At 54.3% G+C, this 16617-nt stretch overlaps 1 protein-coding gene across 8 annotated transcripts in view, besides 3 other annotated features; it reads left to right on the top strand.

Annotated features, from left to right (window-relative positions):
- PTPRN2 (protein tyrosine phosphatase receptor type N2) overlaps positions 1 to 16617 on the top strand; it is a 1048768-nt gene that overhangs the window by 1019412 nt on the left and 12739 nt on the right. The window lies entirely within an intron of this gene.
- Positions 2873 to 4072: an enhancer, noted in NCBI's record as "P300/CBP strongly-dependent group 1 enhancer chr7:157357033-157358232 (GRCh37/hg19 assembly coordinates)". NCBI's record gives its function as "activates an origin of replication core promoter dependent on BRD2, BRD4, P300/CBP, MED14 and CDK7 cofactors, with strong dependence on P300/CBP, by STARR-seq in HCT116 cells {active_cell/tissue: HCT116}" and the evidence as "EXISTENCE:reporter gene assay evidence [ECO:0000049][PMID:35650434]".
- Positions 4738 to 5937: an enhancer, noted in NCBI's record as "P300/CBP strongly-dependent group 1 enhancer chr7:157355168-157356367 (GRCh37/hg19 assembly coordinates)". NCBI's record gives its function as "activates an origin of replication core promoter dependent on BRD2, BRD4, P300/CBP, MED14 and CDK7 cofactors, with strong dependence on P300/CBP, by STARR-seq in HCT116 cells {active_cell/tissue: HCT116}" and the evidence as "EXISTENCE:reporter gene assay evidence [ECO:0000049][PMID:35650434]".
- Positions 5110 to 5310: a silencer, noted in NCBI's record as "peak6873 fragment used in MPRA reporter construct". NCBI's record gives its function as "represses an SCP1 promoter by STARR-seq MPRAs in K562 erythroleukemia cells {active_cell/tissue: K562}" and the evidence as "EXISTENCE:reporter gene assay evidence [ECO:0000049][PMID:32103011]".

The following is a 16617-nucleotide window of genomic DNA, read 5'->3' as shown; positions in this document are numbered from 1 at the left end:
CCTCTCAAATGAGCCTTTCAGCCCTCTTTGTGAATGTCCTTCTTATCTAGGGAATCTCTGTGCGTGCTGTGGGAGGCGTTCCTCTCAGAGACGGTGTGGGGAGTCTTAGACTTGAGGCCTGTGGTGGGAGAAGGACAGGTTTGGCAGAGCGGCAGCATGCGCAGACGGCGTGGGGAGTCTTAGACATGAGGCGCAGGGTGCGAGGATGGGTCCAGCAGCAGCGTGGAAAAGCAGATCTGTGCGCGGGTCTGGCTCTGCCAGCAATGAGGTTTATCACTTTGGACAGAGCTTTTAACCTCTCTGGGATCCAATTTTCTCCTACAAAAGCATGGGGATTGAGCTCTGGCATTTCTCAAAAGGTGGTCTCCAGAATACCCAACCTCTAAGGTCATCTCTTTAAATAGGGGCCAGAGAGAAGGCTCCCCAGGCAGGTGAGCTTGAGAGGAGGCACACACTGAGTCTGCTCCTTGGGCATCACAGGGCAGGTGTGCATGGAGAGGTCCCAAGGAGTCCAGGGCAGAGAGATGTGTCCAGCTTCCCTTCAGTTGGCGCCTCCGACACTTACTTGAGAAGAGTCTGCATTAGCCTTGCGATACCCGTTAGCGTCCCATGGAAGGTGGGAGGCACCGAGGTGGTAGCATCCTACGGTCTCTTTCCCAGCTGTGAATAAACAATTCCCTTTGTCTCAACACACACACACGTATATGTGTTCATACAGAGACCTCCGCCTTCCGTAACATCCCATTCTCCATCACTGGCCCAGTGACAGGAGCAGCCATTGATTATAGAAACAAGTTTCTATACACTTCCACGAATGCCAGCAATTTTAAAATAAGCATTTTCCTTACTTCATTTTCTTCTGGTTAAAAAAAAAAAGACATAAATATGTGAAGATAAAACAACAGCCATGGCTTTACGCAGAAGGACTGGAGAGCCTGGGCAAGTTCTCCAGCGTCCTGCAGCAGAGGGGAGGGCTGCAGCCCAGCCCCACACCCCACACCTACCCAACACCGCCAGCATCCTTTGCTGGCTGCTGGGGAGAAATGAAATCAGTTTTTGTGCCACCAAATGTCATTTTAAACACCCAAGATTAGTTTAGTGGTGGGAATGTGCAAACAAAAACAAAATGCAAACACTCATAATATTTTTAATCCTTTTTTTGTTTGTTTTGGACATGACACAATCCTAACTTTTTGTCATTTAAAAGTCCATTTTTCCTTGTCCATTAATGCTGCTGTGTCTTGTCAAATATTTCTTTTCCTTTCCAAATTTACAGCTATTGGAGCTCAGAGCCATCCATGGAATTTGTATTTCTCCACTTATCATGGGCCCTCCCTTCTTTCCCTCTCTCAGACAAAGATTTTTCTTCTCTTAAACCAAAATGTCTTCAGAACGTTACAGATCATTTGATGTAAGTGTTTCTGACCAAGCCTATGTTTGTGAACGTGTGATGTGGTGAGTTGCTGGGGGCACCTGTGATTCCAATGGAACCTGCCCATCCAGGGACCAGAAGCACAGGCAGGCGGCCGGACGCAGGTGACCCCAGCGTGCGTCTCCACAGGGATGGGATGGAGCCTGGGTTCTGAGTGGCTCAGGTTCACTCCACAGAGAAGGAAACATGGAGAAGTATGTCCTGGGTTCGAGACCCCGGTACGGGGGGCAGGGCTGGCATATTGTCCAGGCACCTGAGCTGCTGTTCACTGGCTCCATTGTGGCATGTGATGTCAATTCTCCTTTGAGAGTGGGCTCAGCTTTGGACAATACGCATGCAGCCATGTGGAAATGGCCAAAGAGGGCTGGCCTGGGGCCTTTTCTGAGATTGGTGACCCTCCTCCTGTTCTTGACCTGCTCCTCTTTCCCTGGGGTGTGTGCGGTGTGAAATTCCCTGACCCGGGTCCCAGGCCACAGTCTCAGGAGAGATCAAAGGGCAGGCAGCCCCTCTGCCGGCTGAGGTGGGCCTTTCCCAGGCCTCCACACTGAGAGGCGCTGGGGTTTTGTTCTGGTGCAGGCTGGGCCCTGCCCGTGTGGCGGGGCGTCTTTGTCTGGCCTGAGAAGCTGGAGGCCCCCACTGCAGACCCAGCGTTTCTCAAATGATCAAAGGCCCAGAGTCCTGGACGTGAAACCTTTCTTCCCATTTCCCTTTCTGTAAAGGAATGCATTACAGAAGACCAGAGAATGCCCTTCCCAAGCTTCCCGGGCAGTCGGGCAGTGCCAACGCTGATGTTAGGGCCCTCCAGTCCTGCATGCAGGGCCTCTGCATGCTTTTAGCTCCAGCAGCTGCGGCCGCAGACAGCAGAGCAGCACTTGTCCACACAGCCCATCAGGGATTAAGGCCTTTGGGCCTAGTTGAAGGGCCTTTAAAAACAAACTCAGAATAGTTGAAGTTCTTTCTCTACTGTCCAGTTTAGCAGCAAGTAGACGATGATGCAGTTTGGAATGAAAGTCAACAGGCTCATGTTCTGCAATGGGTTTTGTGGCAGGAAAGTAGGCACCAATCTGGGAAGCGCTTACACGTGTCATTTCTGTGGCAGCAGATGCGTTTCTAACTCACCGATAATAGACGATTGTGTAGGAATCTGTTTTTAGGTAGCCTGTTCCTCTCTCATTGAAGGGCTTGGCTCACATGTAGCAAAACATGTTTTTTTCAAGCAAGATATTTTCCAAGGTTGTGCCTTTTACTTTTTTGTCAGTGACTTCACTTACTGAGGGTATTTTTCTACTTCCCCACAATTTTTTAAAGGGATGAGGAGCAACCAGCACTGAGGGGGTACTCCCCAGAGATGAGGTGGGCTGAGCCATGCTGGGTGGGGTCAGGCTTCACTCCCCAGGGGCCAGCACAGAAATGCAGTGGCTGAGAAGTGTGGCCAAACTTCCACGGCATTCCCACCAGGGTCTGCGCCTGGGCCGGAAGAGGGTGCCTGTGTGGCCCCAGGTACCATGGAGGCCATGCCAAGCAGACACTGTATGATCCCCCAGCAGCTGTGGCTGTTGACAAGGTGCAGAGTGAGTCTGGGGTGACTCATTTCTTTTGTCTGGCAGGAGCCACAGACCGGGAATTTTGTGTTCCAATATGAATCCCCACGGCTTGTGAGCCCATGCTGGAGCGACCTTTTAAACTTCAGCTGGCTAGGAGTACGTTCCTAAGTAGTCTCACGGCGTGAATGTGAGTGGACGGTGGGGTGTCCACACGGGCATAGACCCAGCTCTCAGACTCAGCGACTGGACATGGTACTATTTTGTGTGTGGATACACATCTCCTTGCCTACGGGGATGGATCACTTCCGTTCTTCTTTGTTTCCGCGAATCTGAATATACTACGCACCTCATCTAAGTGGAGTGATACCGCGTCTGCGCTTCCGTGACTGTTATATGTCACTTTGCATAATGCCTTCGAGGTTGGCCTGTGTCGTGGTGTGTGTCAGCACTAACTTCCATTTTATGACTGACTCATATTCCATGGCATGGATGGACCGCACTTTGTGGATTCATTTGTGTATTAATGGACAGTGCCGTTGTTTCCGGCTTTGGGCTGTTGTGAGTAATCCTGCTGTGAATGTGGATGTGAGGGTGTCCACCCACATCCCTGGATATGTCCCTGGGGCGGAATCGCCACATCGACCGTAATTCTCTTATCTCTTGGCTGTTTGATTACAGCCATCCCAGTGGATGTGAGTGGATCTCAATGTGGTTTTAGCATGCATCTCCCTAACAACTAGTGATGTTGAACATCTTTTAATGGCTTATTGGCCATTTGTATATCAACTTGAGCAAAACAGACATTTCAAGTCCCTTGCCCATTTCTGAAGTGGGCTGTTTGTATTTTTTGTTGTTGAATTCTAAGAGTTCTTTATATATTCTGAATACTACTCCCTTATCAGCTATGTAATTTGCAAGTATTTTCTCCCATTACATCGGGGTTTTTTACTCTTTTGATAGTGTCTTTGTTACACAAAAGTGTTCAATTTTGATGAAGTCCAGTTTACTTTTTAAAAAATATTTTTCTTGTGACTCACACCTGTAATCCCAGCACTTTGGGAGGCCAAGGCGGGTGGATCACCTGAGGTCAGGAGTTCGAGACCAGCCTGGCCAACGTGGCAAAACCCAGTCTCTACTAAAAATACAAACATTAGCCAGGTGTGGTGGCAGATGCTACTCAGGAGGCTGAGGCAGGAGAATCACTTGAACCCGGGAGGCGGAGGTTGCAGTGACCTGAGATCGCACCATTGCGCTCCAGCCTGGGCAACAAGAAAGAAACTCCATCTCAAAAATATATTTTTTTTTCTTGTGCTTTTAGTATCATACCCAAGATATATTGGCCAAATCCAAGGTCACAAAGACCTTCTGCTATCTGTTCTTAGATTTCCTCCTATATTCTCTTAACTTTTAAGGGCAGGCCCAAGTAGTAGATGGAAAGTTGCCTGTGGGAAGCGAGAGGGGCCATGGAGCAGAGAGCCTGCTGCCTCGAGCGTGTGCGGGAGCATGTGGTCCTGATCTGCTGTGTGTGGTGTGGTGATGTGGGAGCACATGGTCCTGATCTGCTGTCTGTGGTGATGCAGGAGCACGTGGTCTTGATCTGTGGCATGTGGTGACGTGGGAGCACGTGGTCCTGATCTGCTGTGTGTGGTGATGTGGGAGCACGTGGTCCTGATCTGCTGTGTGTGGTGATGTGGGAGCACGTGGTCCTGATCTGTGGTGTGTGGTGATGTGGGAGCACGTGGTCCTGATCTGCTGTCTGTGGTGATGCGGGAGCACGTGGTCCTGATCTGTGGTGTGTGGTGATGTGGGAGCACGTGGTCCTGATCTGCTGCATGTGGTGTGGTGATGCGGGAGCACGTGGTCCTGATCTGCTGTGTGTGGTGACGTGGGAGCACGTGGTCCTGATCTGCTGTGTGTGGTGATGCGGGACCACGTGGTCCTGATCTGCTGTGTGTGGTGACGTGGGAGCACGTGGTCCTGATCTGCTGTGTGTGGTGACGTGGGAGCACGTGGTCCTGATCTGCTGTGTGTGGTGATGCGGGACCACGTGGTCCTGATCTGCTGTGTGTGGTGACGTGGGAGCACGTGGTCCTGATCTGCTGCATGTGGTGTGGTGATGCGGGAGCACGTGGTCCTGATCTGCTGTGTGTGGTGACGTGGGAGCACGTGGTCCTGATCTGCTGTGTGTGGTGACGCGGGAGCACGTGGTCCTGCTCTGCTGTGTGTGGTGACATGGGAGCACGTGGTCCTGATCTGCTGTGTGTGGTGACGTGGGAGCACGTGGTCCTGATCTGCTGTGTGTGGTGACGTGGGAGCACGTGGTCCTGATCTGCTGTGTGTGGTGACGTGGGAGCACGTGGTCCTGATCTGTGGTGTGTGGTGATGCGGGAGCATGTGGTCCTGATCTGCTGTGTGTGGTGACGTGGGAGCATGTGGTCCTGATCTGCTGTGTGTGGTGAAGCGGGAGCACGTGGTCCTGATCTGCTGTGTGGTGATGTGGGAGCACGTGGTCCTGATCTGTGGTGTGTGGTGATGCGGGAGCACGTGGTCCTGATCTGCGTGTGGTGACATGGGAGCACGTGGTCCTGATCTGCTGCGTGTGGTGACGTGGAGCACGTGGTCCTGATCTGCTGTCTGTGGTGATGCGGGAGCACATGGTCCTGATCTGCTGTGTGTGGTGACGCGGGAGCACGTGGTCCTGATCTGCTGTGTGTGGTGACGCGGGAGCATGTGGTCCTGATCTGCTGTGTGTGGTGACGCGGGAGCACATGGTCCTGATCTGCTGTGTGTGGTGACAGCAGAACGTCTTTGTCGAATCGTGTTTTGTGGCTCCCCGGACTTTGAAGGTCCCCGGACTTTGAAGGCCAGCAGCCCTCCAGAGCCGCCTTGTTCCATACAGTAGCCACATGTGGTTCCTTAGAGTCACTAAAATTGGATAAAGTTTACAAGTCAGCTCTTCAGTTGTACTAGCTGCATGACAAAGCCACAGTGGCTACACCAGGCGGTGAAGCTGGAAGTCACTCCTTCCCCCACAGCAGGTCCTGGGGGCCACACGGCTCCAAGGTGGCACTACGGTGGCTCCTGACTTCACCCTCACCCTCTTCTCATCTCCCTGGGCCCAGCCCCATCACCCCTCGTGTGCTGGTCTCCCCGCTCCATTTTCTCCTCCTGATTAGGTGTCACACAGCAGTCAGTAAGATGCTTTAGACAGAAAGACCTTGGGTGCCTGCCTCGGCCCTGGAGCTGTCCCCAGAGCCCTGGGCGAGCTGTCCCCAGAGCCCTGGGCAACCTGGCCACTGCCGATCCCCCTTGGTGGGCCACTCTGCCTCCTTTGGCTCCAGGACTCAGGGCTTTGCAGGTTCTTTTCTGTGGCGTGGGGGGCGCACCCTTCCCCTCCCCAGGGTGCATCCCCCACCCTCTGTCCTCTCTGGAGTCCCACTGGTCCATTCCTTCTCTGGCAGATGCCAGGGTAAACCGTGAAAGTGTGGCTCCAGCTGATGGCAGGGCAGCGTCCACTGCATGCTGGATCCACGCTGATGCTGGTTTGGCACCTGCTGCCTGCCAGGCGTGGGTTGTGAGAGCAAAACAGAGAAGCCCCATCCTCCTGCTGCATCTTCCTGCTCTGCCGAGAGACAGGTAAGGAGTCTGTGGCTGCAGGGTGGTGGAGAGCAGACAAGGACACTCCCAGATGCAGAGATGGCAGCTTCACTCACGGGCTGTCCTGGGGCTCAGGAGGACCCACAGAAAGCTTTTCACTGAATGGAAGGGGGCCCAAGGGGCCCTCCGTTCTGACCACTCTGTTGCAAGCTGAGGAAGCAGTTCTGGGAGGTTGGGTGACTTGCCTCAAGGCCTCCGGTCAGCCAGAGTCAGATGCAGAACCCTGCTCAGTCTGCAAAGGCTCAGGGCCCCAGAGGGAGGATGGTGGAAGGCACACGGCCCCAGGGACGGCGCTCAGAGGCACAGCGTGGTGTGTTCCAGGGCTCCAGGGACAGAGGGGCAGCTTCGCTGGGGAGTTCCTTTGGGGCTCTCATGGAAACTACCGGAGGAAGAGGAAACTGAGGGCCAGTGGTGAGGCGCCTGGGCCGCCGAGCTCAGCTCTCTCTGGGCACAGCCTGGAGTCTGCAGGGAAGTGGGAGAACCCAGGCAGGTGCTGGAGGACCAGCCAGGCAGTGCAGAACCAGAGGGCGGGGAGACCGGCCGGGCAGTACAGGACCCGGGGGCCGAAGGGATGGCATGGCTGGGCAGTGCAGAACCAGAGGGCGGGGAGACTGGCCGGGCAGTACAGGACCCGGGGGCCGAGGGGATGGCATGGCTGGGCAGTGCAGAACCAGATGGCTGGGGGACCAGCCAGGCAGTGCGGGACTAAGAGGGCCAGGGAATGGAGCTGGAACTGAAGAACAGGCCAGCTCAGCCACGGGGCCCAGGAGAGGGTTGAGCCAGACAGAGCCACACATTTGGGCGCAGGCACCAAGAGAAGGAGGTGCAGGTGCATGAGGCTCAGCCTTCTGCAGATGAGACTTAGGGGGACGCGAGGGCTGGGCAGAATTGGGAAAGCTGAGCAGGAGACGTCTCGCTTTTATGTTTGGCTGAAACATGAAAACACGAAGGGCCAGTGGGAAAGGGACCTCACAGACACGTTGGGCCCGCAGTGTCTCTTGTCTCGCTCAGGCAAGTTTCAGGCTGAAAAAGTGCCCAGAATTGGGTGAGGTGGGAGGAGGGAAGGGGAGAGGGAGCCTGTCTGCACCTTTCTCTTCAAGGGAGAAGTTGCCTTCGGTCGGGCAGGAGCAGGGCCTCCTCTGCTGTGTGTTGTTTATTTTCTGTGCCTTTCCTTCCCCTGAGCTATTCTGGTGCAAGAGAAACAGTGAGGGATGTGGGGCGTGAGGTGTCCCCAGGTTCCCGGGCCGGTCTGCAGTGCCCTGTCCCGTGTAAGGGGCTGACGACGAACGCTGGTTGGAGCAGTGGTCCGGGGGCGTGGCTGACCCCACCCAGGCAGGGCACAGGCGGACCCTGGTGTCGATCGCCTGGTGGGAGCGTGTGGACAGCATGAGACCCGCTGGTCTTGGGGAACACGCTCTGGGCATCCGTGTGGGCAGCACTGCCCACCATCCTTCGATGGTCTCCTCGGGGGTCTTCGTCCCTGTGCATGGAGCCGTCCTCACTGAGTGTACCAGCTCACAGGTCTCCCACCTTCAAGGGGTCTCCCACCTTCAAGGGGTCAGGCTGACCCTGCTGAGCCAGGGTTCACATAGCCTGGCTGCAGGGGCTCCTCACCCACTCCTGGGTCTGATGTCCTCACCTGGGCTGTCCTCCGCTTCTCCTCATGGTCACGCAGACACCTCAGGCCCATTGGATGCCGCAAAATGTCGTTCAGGTCCCACCTGGCCGAGGGCTGTCCCTTCTGCAAGCTCCCTCCTTGGTCCCGGGTGCTGGCACCAGCCCATCCAGGCCCATCCAGGCCCTCCCCTCCCTCCAACACAGGCCTTGCTGGCACACATTTAGGGGTCAGACCACGCCAGCAGGAGCTGGATGAGGCCACAGCGAGGGAGCTGGCAGCAGGCGGCCCCTGAGAATGTGGGAGAGAACACAGGAGAGAGACGGGGCGGGGGGGGCCACAGCCCTGTCGGGGCAGCTGTGTCGCTGTCAGGATGTGCCCGAAGCACTGGTCCCTGAGTCCACATGTTTCTGTTCAAACTCCTGTTTGGAAATTCGGGAGGGGATCAAAGTCCTGCCCTCCAAGGTTCCCGTTGGAGACACAGCTCCACGGTCCAGGCTGGCCCGGCCTGCGCACTTGCCTGCCTGATTCTGCTCCCTGCTGCCGGGCAGTCACTCCTTCATCTCAGTCCCTGGGTCCTCTCCGTCCTCTGTGCGCATCTTGCTCACAGCCTGGTTGCTCCATTTCCTGCGGCACAGCTGCCCTCCCCACACAGTCTGTGGTCCCCCCTCCATCTCCTCTGCTCTCGCTCCCACCCACTCTGTCCTTCCCTCATTCCTCTGCTCGTCCAGCCCCCGCCAGTGTGTTCTGCCACTCCCTATCCTGGGTTTCCAGGGGCCCATGTGGAGGGCTGCAGGGGTCTCCCTGTTGTCCTGGAGGCACCTCCCAGAGCATCATCCCTGCCCAGCCCGCAGGCCCAACATCCTCCGTCCAGACCCTGAGGGGCTGTCCCCAGAGGCAGCAGGTCCCAAGCGTCCGTTCCTAGCGCCTGAAGTCCAGGCACATGCAGCCTGGCCTTTTGGCAGTGGGGCTCCCTCGTAGTGTTGAGTAGGATGCTGGGGGTCCCCCGATGGAGTCAGGGTGCTGCAGGGGGTCACACGCTGTCCCGTGGAATCAGTAATCCTCATGCAAGATTCTTCCAAATGCACAGCAACTGCGTGAGACAGAACGTGCGTGTGGGAAGGGCAGCGATCCCGTGCAGTGTCACGCGGCCCCTCGGCTCCCTCCTTGGCCTGTGCTTCCGTTTCTCCTGTTTCCGAGGTCAAATGATGCAAAGTGTCCTTGACCATGAGCCCACGGGCATGGGACAAGGTCTCTGTGTTTGCACTGTAAGCCACGGAACTGAGTCAATGCGTAACTGGCCCTGTCCCCAGCCCAGGCACTTTCTGAACCCAAAATAGACTCAGAGGGACCGAGGCAGCTGCCGGCCCTACAGGAGCAAGGGGGAGGAGAGCCTGGGCTGTGCACCTGCAGGAGGGATCCTGCCAGACCCCCGTAAAGGCCAGGCCCCCGGAAGCAGCAGTACCAGCAGTCAGTGCGGCCTGGGAGGGGAGCTGGCTGCATGCTTCACGCATCCCCGCTGGACCAGTGCATGAGCACCTTTTGGGTAAAAGGTGCAAGTGGTGTGTGCGTGTTCCAGGCAGCATGAGAAGGTTTGCCCTGGGTGAGCCCAGCTCCTGTTCTCCTCCACCTGTTCAATATTCACAATTTGGTGTGATTGTTACTCAGCTGCAGACGGCCTCCTGAACGCCATTGACCGCACATGCTTGTTGATTCTGACATAGGTGTTGAGGACCTAGCCACATCGTGGAGGCCCCCATGTGGGTGTGTGTGCTCTGCACTGATCTGGGAATGACTGCGTGTGCCCCATCACACGGATGCTCCAGGATGTACCTCAGCAGTCCCCTGCCTTGGGGCTCTCGTGCTGCTCCCAAACCTCTTCTGTCAGCACAGACGCTGCGTTTGCATCTCGGTCCTGCCCCGGTGCCCTGGCACTGGTTGTGCAGGGCAGGTAGGTGGGATGGCAGCAAACTGCGGTGGGCACCGCGTCGCACCAATGTGCACGTGTTCACACACAGATAGGACTCGGAATTGTGGAGCCATCGTATTCGTCTTTCCCTTTTAACAATCCCCCCTTGAATTGTGAAGCTGTGCTCGCCTGCACAGGGGTGCAGAGGTCCGGTGTCTCCGCGTTGATGCTGCCAGCACCTCAACAGTATTATGGGATGGTCCAGCAGTCGATAGAAACTTACCAGGATATTTTGCACAATTCCCTGTCCTCCTGGAGTATTGGGGATGGTGACTTTAAAATGACAGTACTCATTCATACACTTCTACATTTTCTTTAACTTATATTTTTAATAAGGATCTGGAGGCATTTCAGTTTCTCCAAAAGAAGGATTTAGAATTTGTTCAAAGGAAAAAAAAACATAAGAAATAGCTAGTTTGTTATGATTCTGATCTACTTGATTTTCAAGTGAATAAGATGCAGATTTGCCTCCTTTGATCCCAGCAATATGTTACAACATAGACAATATAATTTATCTAGAAGGTCAGCAAAAAAAAACCTGCTTATAATTTTCATAAGTCTTTAGTTAAGATCATCCAGGAAAGGTGTGAAGTAAAAACTCAGCACTGAAGGCCCAGGAGAGTGTGTGTGTGTGTGTGTGTGGGAGTGTGTGTGATGGGTGTGGGTGTTGTGTGGGCCTATGCATGCCGTGTGTACCTGTGTGTGCATGCACATAGGTGTGTGCATGTGTGTGGTGTATGAGTGTGTGATATGGGTGTGGAATGTTTGTGTGCAGTGTGAGCTGTGAGTGTTCTGTGTGTATGCATGTGTATGATGTATGTGTGTGATCCTGAATGTAGGTATAAAGGATGTGCATGTGTGATGTGGGGTGTATTGTGTGAGAGTGTGAAGTGTGGGTGTTTGTGTGCACATGTGATGTAGGATGTGAGTGTTGTGTGGTGTGTGCATGCCTGTGTGTGTGTGTGCATATGTATGACCTATGTAAGTGGGGTGTGTGTGTTGTGTGGTGTGTGCATGCCTGTGTATATATGTGTGCATGCATGTGAGTATATATGAGTGTGGGTGTGCATGTTGTGTGAGCATGTGCATGCCTGTGTGTATATCTGTGTGTGTGTGTGTATGTATGATACATGAGTGTGGGGTGTGCATCTTGTGTGGATGTGTGCATGCCTGTATATATGTGTGTGCATGCATGTGCATATGTATGACATTGTGTGTGCATGTGTGTGCATATGACATGAGCGTAGGGTGTGCATGTCATGTGGGCATGTGCATTCCTGTGTATATGTGTGTGCATGCATATGTATGACATGTGAGCATGGATATGTATGTTGTGTGAGTGTGTGCATGGCTGTGTGTATATTTGTGTGTGCATATGTATGACATGAGTGTGGGATGTGCATGTTGTGGGCGTGTGCATGTGTGTGTGCATGTGCATATGTATGAGTGTGGGGTGTGAGTGTAGTGTGGGCATGTGCACACATGTGTATATGTGTGTGGGCATGTGTGTATGTGACATGTGAGTGTGGGGTGTGCATGTTTGTGTGAATGTGTGTGTGTGCATGTGCATATGTATGATGTGTGGGGTGTGTGTGTTTGGATGTGTGCATGAATGTGTATGTGTGTGCATGTACATATGTATGACGTGAGGGTGGATGCGAGTGTTGTGTGGTGTGTGCATGCCTGTGTGTGTATGTGTGTGCATCTGTGTATGTATGACATGAGTGTGGGTGTGAGTGTTGTGTGATGTGTGCATGCCTGTGTGTGTGTGCATGTGCGTATGTATGATGTGAGTGTGGGTGAGTGTTGTGTGGTGTGTGCATGCCTGTGTGTGTGCACATGTGCATATGTATGACGTGAGTGTGAGTGTGGGTGTGTGTGTTGTTTGGGTGTGTGCATGCCTCTGTGTGTGTGCATGTGCATATGTATGATGTGAGTGTGGGTGAGTGTTGTGTGGTGTGTGCATGCCTGTGTACCCATGTACATGTATCTGCATGCGTGTAGTGTGTAGTCAGTGCCAAGTGGCATCCCTGAGACCCAGGTCTGGGGAGGGCTTGAACCGTGTGGGGCACCCAGAGCATCCCCAACCACAGTTACCTTGAGCCGAGTTTTGCTCTGCCAGACGTGAGGGGCTCTAGCTTGACCTCTGCACCCAGTCCAGTTCTGGGGTCACCTCGGCTGACATGGAGAGCTAGAAAGATGGGGTGTCTGTGCCCTTCAGAGCCCAGTCCTCCCACAGCGTGAGCTCCAGACAAAGCAGAAACATCGCAGCCTGGGTGAGTGAGGAGCTCTGCGCTCCTGGGGCACGGGAACTGTTCCACTTCGTTCCTTATCTGGATTCTTAATAATCACCATTCGTCATGTATTTGAATGCATTTAGTTAGGACCAAGCTTTTCTTCAGTTCTTCCAGAGGGTAGAGTTGAGAAAATTTTCTCCTGCAAGTAAAGGCCTCTCTCTCTTGAACACTTGGCACACATTGTCGTTTTTACTTTCAAGAAAAAAAGAATACATTGCATCCCTGCAGTTTGCAAAACCTCTGAGTAAAATTGTAATAAAACTTACCTGCGCTCATGCAGTCATTATCCATGAACAGGCTGCCGGAAGCCATGCGGAAGAATGACGGTCAGGAGACGGCGACGATGGCCCTCCCGGCACACCCCATCCGTCCGTGTTCACTGTTTACTGGGAGGATGTGGTCTAGGGCCATGAGCTGAATCACACAGCTCGGTCAGCCAAGAGCCAGAGTCCAGGAGAAATCAAACAAGCCTTGGAAAGAGACACCGGTGGCATATTTGCTTGGTTTTCTTTAACTTCAAATGGATTCTTTCATTGTGACAGATAGTTTTAATACTTTAATACTAATATTCTTTTAATGGCTTTTGTTTAATGGTTAACATTTTTTATCTAAAGCTAAAAAAAAACCCTCTGTTGTCTTACAAATGTATTTAACCAATGTATAAACTTTTAACCCAATGAGCCCTGAGTGAATTAGAAAATAACAATGAGAGCGATTTACATTTGCTGAGCTTGGCACGGGATGGTACCCAGTGGCCATTCGGGTGCCAGCGGAGCACGCAGAGCCTGGTGTCTGTGGCTGCCTCCCTGGTCCACTAACACGAGAGAGGTGGGTCTTCCTGGGTGTCCCAGGCACGAGGGTGCAGCCCAACCCAAACTGACTTGGCCGGTGCTCACCACACTGGGACGCCCGCCACACTGGGGCGCCCGCCACACTGGGGTGCTGAGCAAGATGGCAGCCTGCGTCACTTCCCTGTAGATTCCCGACATGGACAACTCGAATTAAACCTGGTCAAGTAGCAGAAAGTGGCTCCACTGAGTCCATTCATTTCCCTGGTGTTTGAATCACCATGATGCTTCTTAGGTGGAAAACGCCTGGGACTTCTCCGTGGACCCCACGCTCTGTCCCCGGTAGACATCGTTAAGGTTCCTTTCTTTCCTTCCATCTGGATTTTCTTTGTGTGTGCGCTGACTCCTCGACTGTTTGCAGGCTTTTCGATGTCAGCGTCACACCACTGGGCCTTTCTGTTTCCCTGGAATTTAACTTTCGTTAGCTGCTCCTTCACCTTGTCAGCAAAATTGGATTTTTCAAGAGAGAATTCTATTTTAAATGCACTAGAGGGAGCTTTCTATGCAGTGGAGGCTTTAAATGAATCCTTTGACACTAAGAAAAGCCTTTTATCAAGTGAAGGGGGACACACGCCCACCCTATCCCACCCTACCCACCCAGCAGGTGCTTTATCAATGCCAACGTTGTGCCCCTGCCCGGCCTGGCCACACCCATGCTCAGGAGGGCACAAGAGCGGGCAGGATCCAGCGCCCGGCCTGGCCGCACCCATGCCCAGGAGGGCACGAGAGCGGGCAGGATCCGGCGCCCGGCCTGGCCGCACCCATGCCCAGGAGGGCACGAGAGCGGGCAGGATCCGGCGCCCGGCCTGGCCGCACCCATGCCCAGGAGGGCACGAGAGCGGGCAGGATCCGGCGCCCGGCCTGGCCGCACCCATGCCCAGGAGGGCACGAGAGCGGGCAGGATCCGGCGCCCGGCCTGGCCGCACCCATGCCCAGGAGGGCACGAGAGCGGGCAGGATCCGGCGCCCGGCCTGGCCGCACCCATGCCCAGGAGGGCACGCGAGCGGGCAGGATCCGGCGCCCGGCCTGGCCGCACCCATGCCCAGGAGGGCACGAGAGCGGGCAGGATCCGGCGCCCGGCCTGGCCGTACCCATGCTCAGGAGGGCACCAGAGCGGGCAGGATACGGCGCCCAGCCTGAGCCTGGCTATCCAGGGTCTGTCCCTTATGAAAGATCTCATGCATGGGCTCTATGAAAGCTTCTGTCTCCACCACACTTGAAGTAAGGAGTTAGTCTTAATCCTGGCATGCAAGAAGCAGGAGCCGTCCACAGCAGACAGTTGATTTTCCTGCTACATCATTATGGACCTAATGCTGGTGCTGCACACTTTTTAAGCGTTAACTCCGTTTCCTCCGCTCTTCAGTTTTGGTCTCGGGCTCAGCGCGACTCGGAGGCACGCTCCCGTGTCATTTTGTATTTCCGCCCGGTTCTCCCCATGTTGTCTGGGGATGGCCCGGCAAGTCTTTCTCCTTCCCTTTTTTCACTTTTCCTCACAAACCACAGCCTGAGAGGGAGCCACGATGTCATGAAATAAGAGAGACTTTATCCATCACATTTTATGTGAGGACGACGACGCCACTCTGGGAGACAGCCGCCAGCAACAGCCATCTCCAGAGATCAGTGCACGCGGAGGGAGAGCCCCTTCCTCGCCCACACCTGCTACAGCTCCTGACGGCTTCATGGCTCCGGCCAGAATTCGGGAGGGCGGTTGCCAGTGAGGGACAGTCTCCCAGGATTCCCACTAGCACCATCATACACACAGCCCTTCAGATGACATTGCTGTTGACAGTCGTTTTAAAAAAGAAGTTTCAGGGACTGAAAGCAAGTACCCTAAAGCCACCTAACGGAGAGAGGCTTTAACTCTGTGGCCCAGATGAACCCTCAACGTGATGTCTCAGGAGGGCTGAGAGCTCCCCGTCTCTTGAGTCAGACTATTTATACCACACTTGCTTCTCCTGAGGTTCATGACTCCTGAGACAGAAAGCTGAGGGGTCCCCGTAGAAGCCGCTGCTGTCCTCGTGCCTGGAAGGCTTCAGAGAACATAACTGATTGGATTTCACTGTCTCCCAGAAGAGTTTGCTCACGAGATCTGTGAGGTTGCCTGAGCATCAAATGTGTTTTGTAAATTACACGTAATCATGCGTCATCTCACTGGACCCTCACTGGACCCTGGAAACGGGAGGAAAGCCCCTCCAGAGGTGAGGCTGGCCCATCCAGCTTCCCGGCCAGGCCCAGCATAGGCACGCGGAGCGGAAACCCACACCTCAGCACTGTAGCCCGAGCTTCCCCACGTCATGTGACACAACTCGACGTCTGTCGGCAACCCCAGCACTCCTGCCTTTAACTCACCTTTTTTGGTTTTGGGAAAATTTCTTAAAAGCCAATAGACATCTTACGTTTTTAATTACACAAGACTGGTTGTAATACATTTTGTGTATTAGAACCCGGTTTCCAAACCCAGCAGCGTATGGCCAAAGACAAATAGCGTGCTCTAAACGTGGGTGTGAGGCCCCAGCACATGGAGCCTCCCTCATCCTGCACCTCGGCCCATCCCCTCCCCACGTGGTCCAGGTCAGCATCTCGCTGAGGTCAGCAGTTGGGGTGTGTGAGGAGTTACGAGACCCAGTGTTAGATGGAGCCTGTACATTTCCCCGTTTCTGAGCTATTATTCACACGGCCAGCCGCTTTGCACGATGACTTCCCTTCTAAATGAGAGGGCAGGTTTCCCTGTACATAGAAATATGTAAAAATACATAGAATTATTTTTATCGGGAAGCTATTTAGTTATGTTATTGTTTTTTACACGTGGTAATTAAACAGCAAACGTCTTGCCATTTCTTCTGGATGATTTCTAAAGAGCCAATCAAGCAGAATGTGGTGCGTGGTGGCCGTGGGGTACACGGTGGCTGTGGGGTGTGTGGTCAGTGACCACAGGGTGTGCAGTGGCCATAGAGTGCATGGTTCCTGTAGGGTATGTGGTGGCTGTGGAGTGTGTGGTGGTCATGGGGTGTGTGCCAGCTGTGGGTTGGGTGCTGGCTGTGGGGTGTGTGGTGGCCGTGGGTTGTGTGGTGGCTGTGGGGTGCGTGGTGGCTGTGGGTTGTGTGGTGGCTGTGGGGTGCGTGGTGCCCATGGGGTGCATGCTGGCTGTGGGGTGTGTGGTGGCTGTGGGGTGCGTGGTGCCCATGGGGTGCGTGCTGGCTGTGGGGTGTGTGGTGGCTGTGGGATGCGTGCTGGCTGTGGGGTGCGTGGTGGCTG

This window comes from Homo sapiens, chromosome 7 (genome assembly GCF_000001405.40).
Source record: "Homo sapiens chromosome 7, GRCh38.p14 Primary Assembly".
Lineage (NCBI taxonomy): Eukaryota > Metazoa > Chordata > Mammalia > Primates > Hominidae > Homo > Homo sapiens.
Note: the sequence above shows the minus strand (reverse complement) of the source record. Positions and strands in the feature narration are given on the sequence as shown.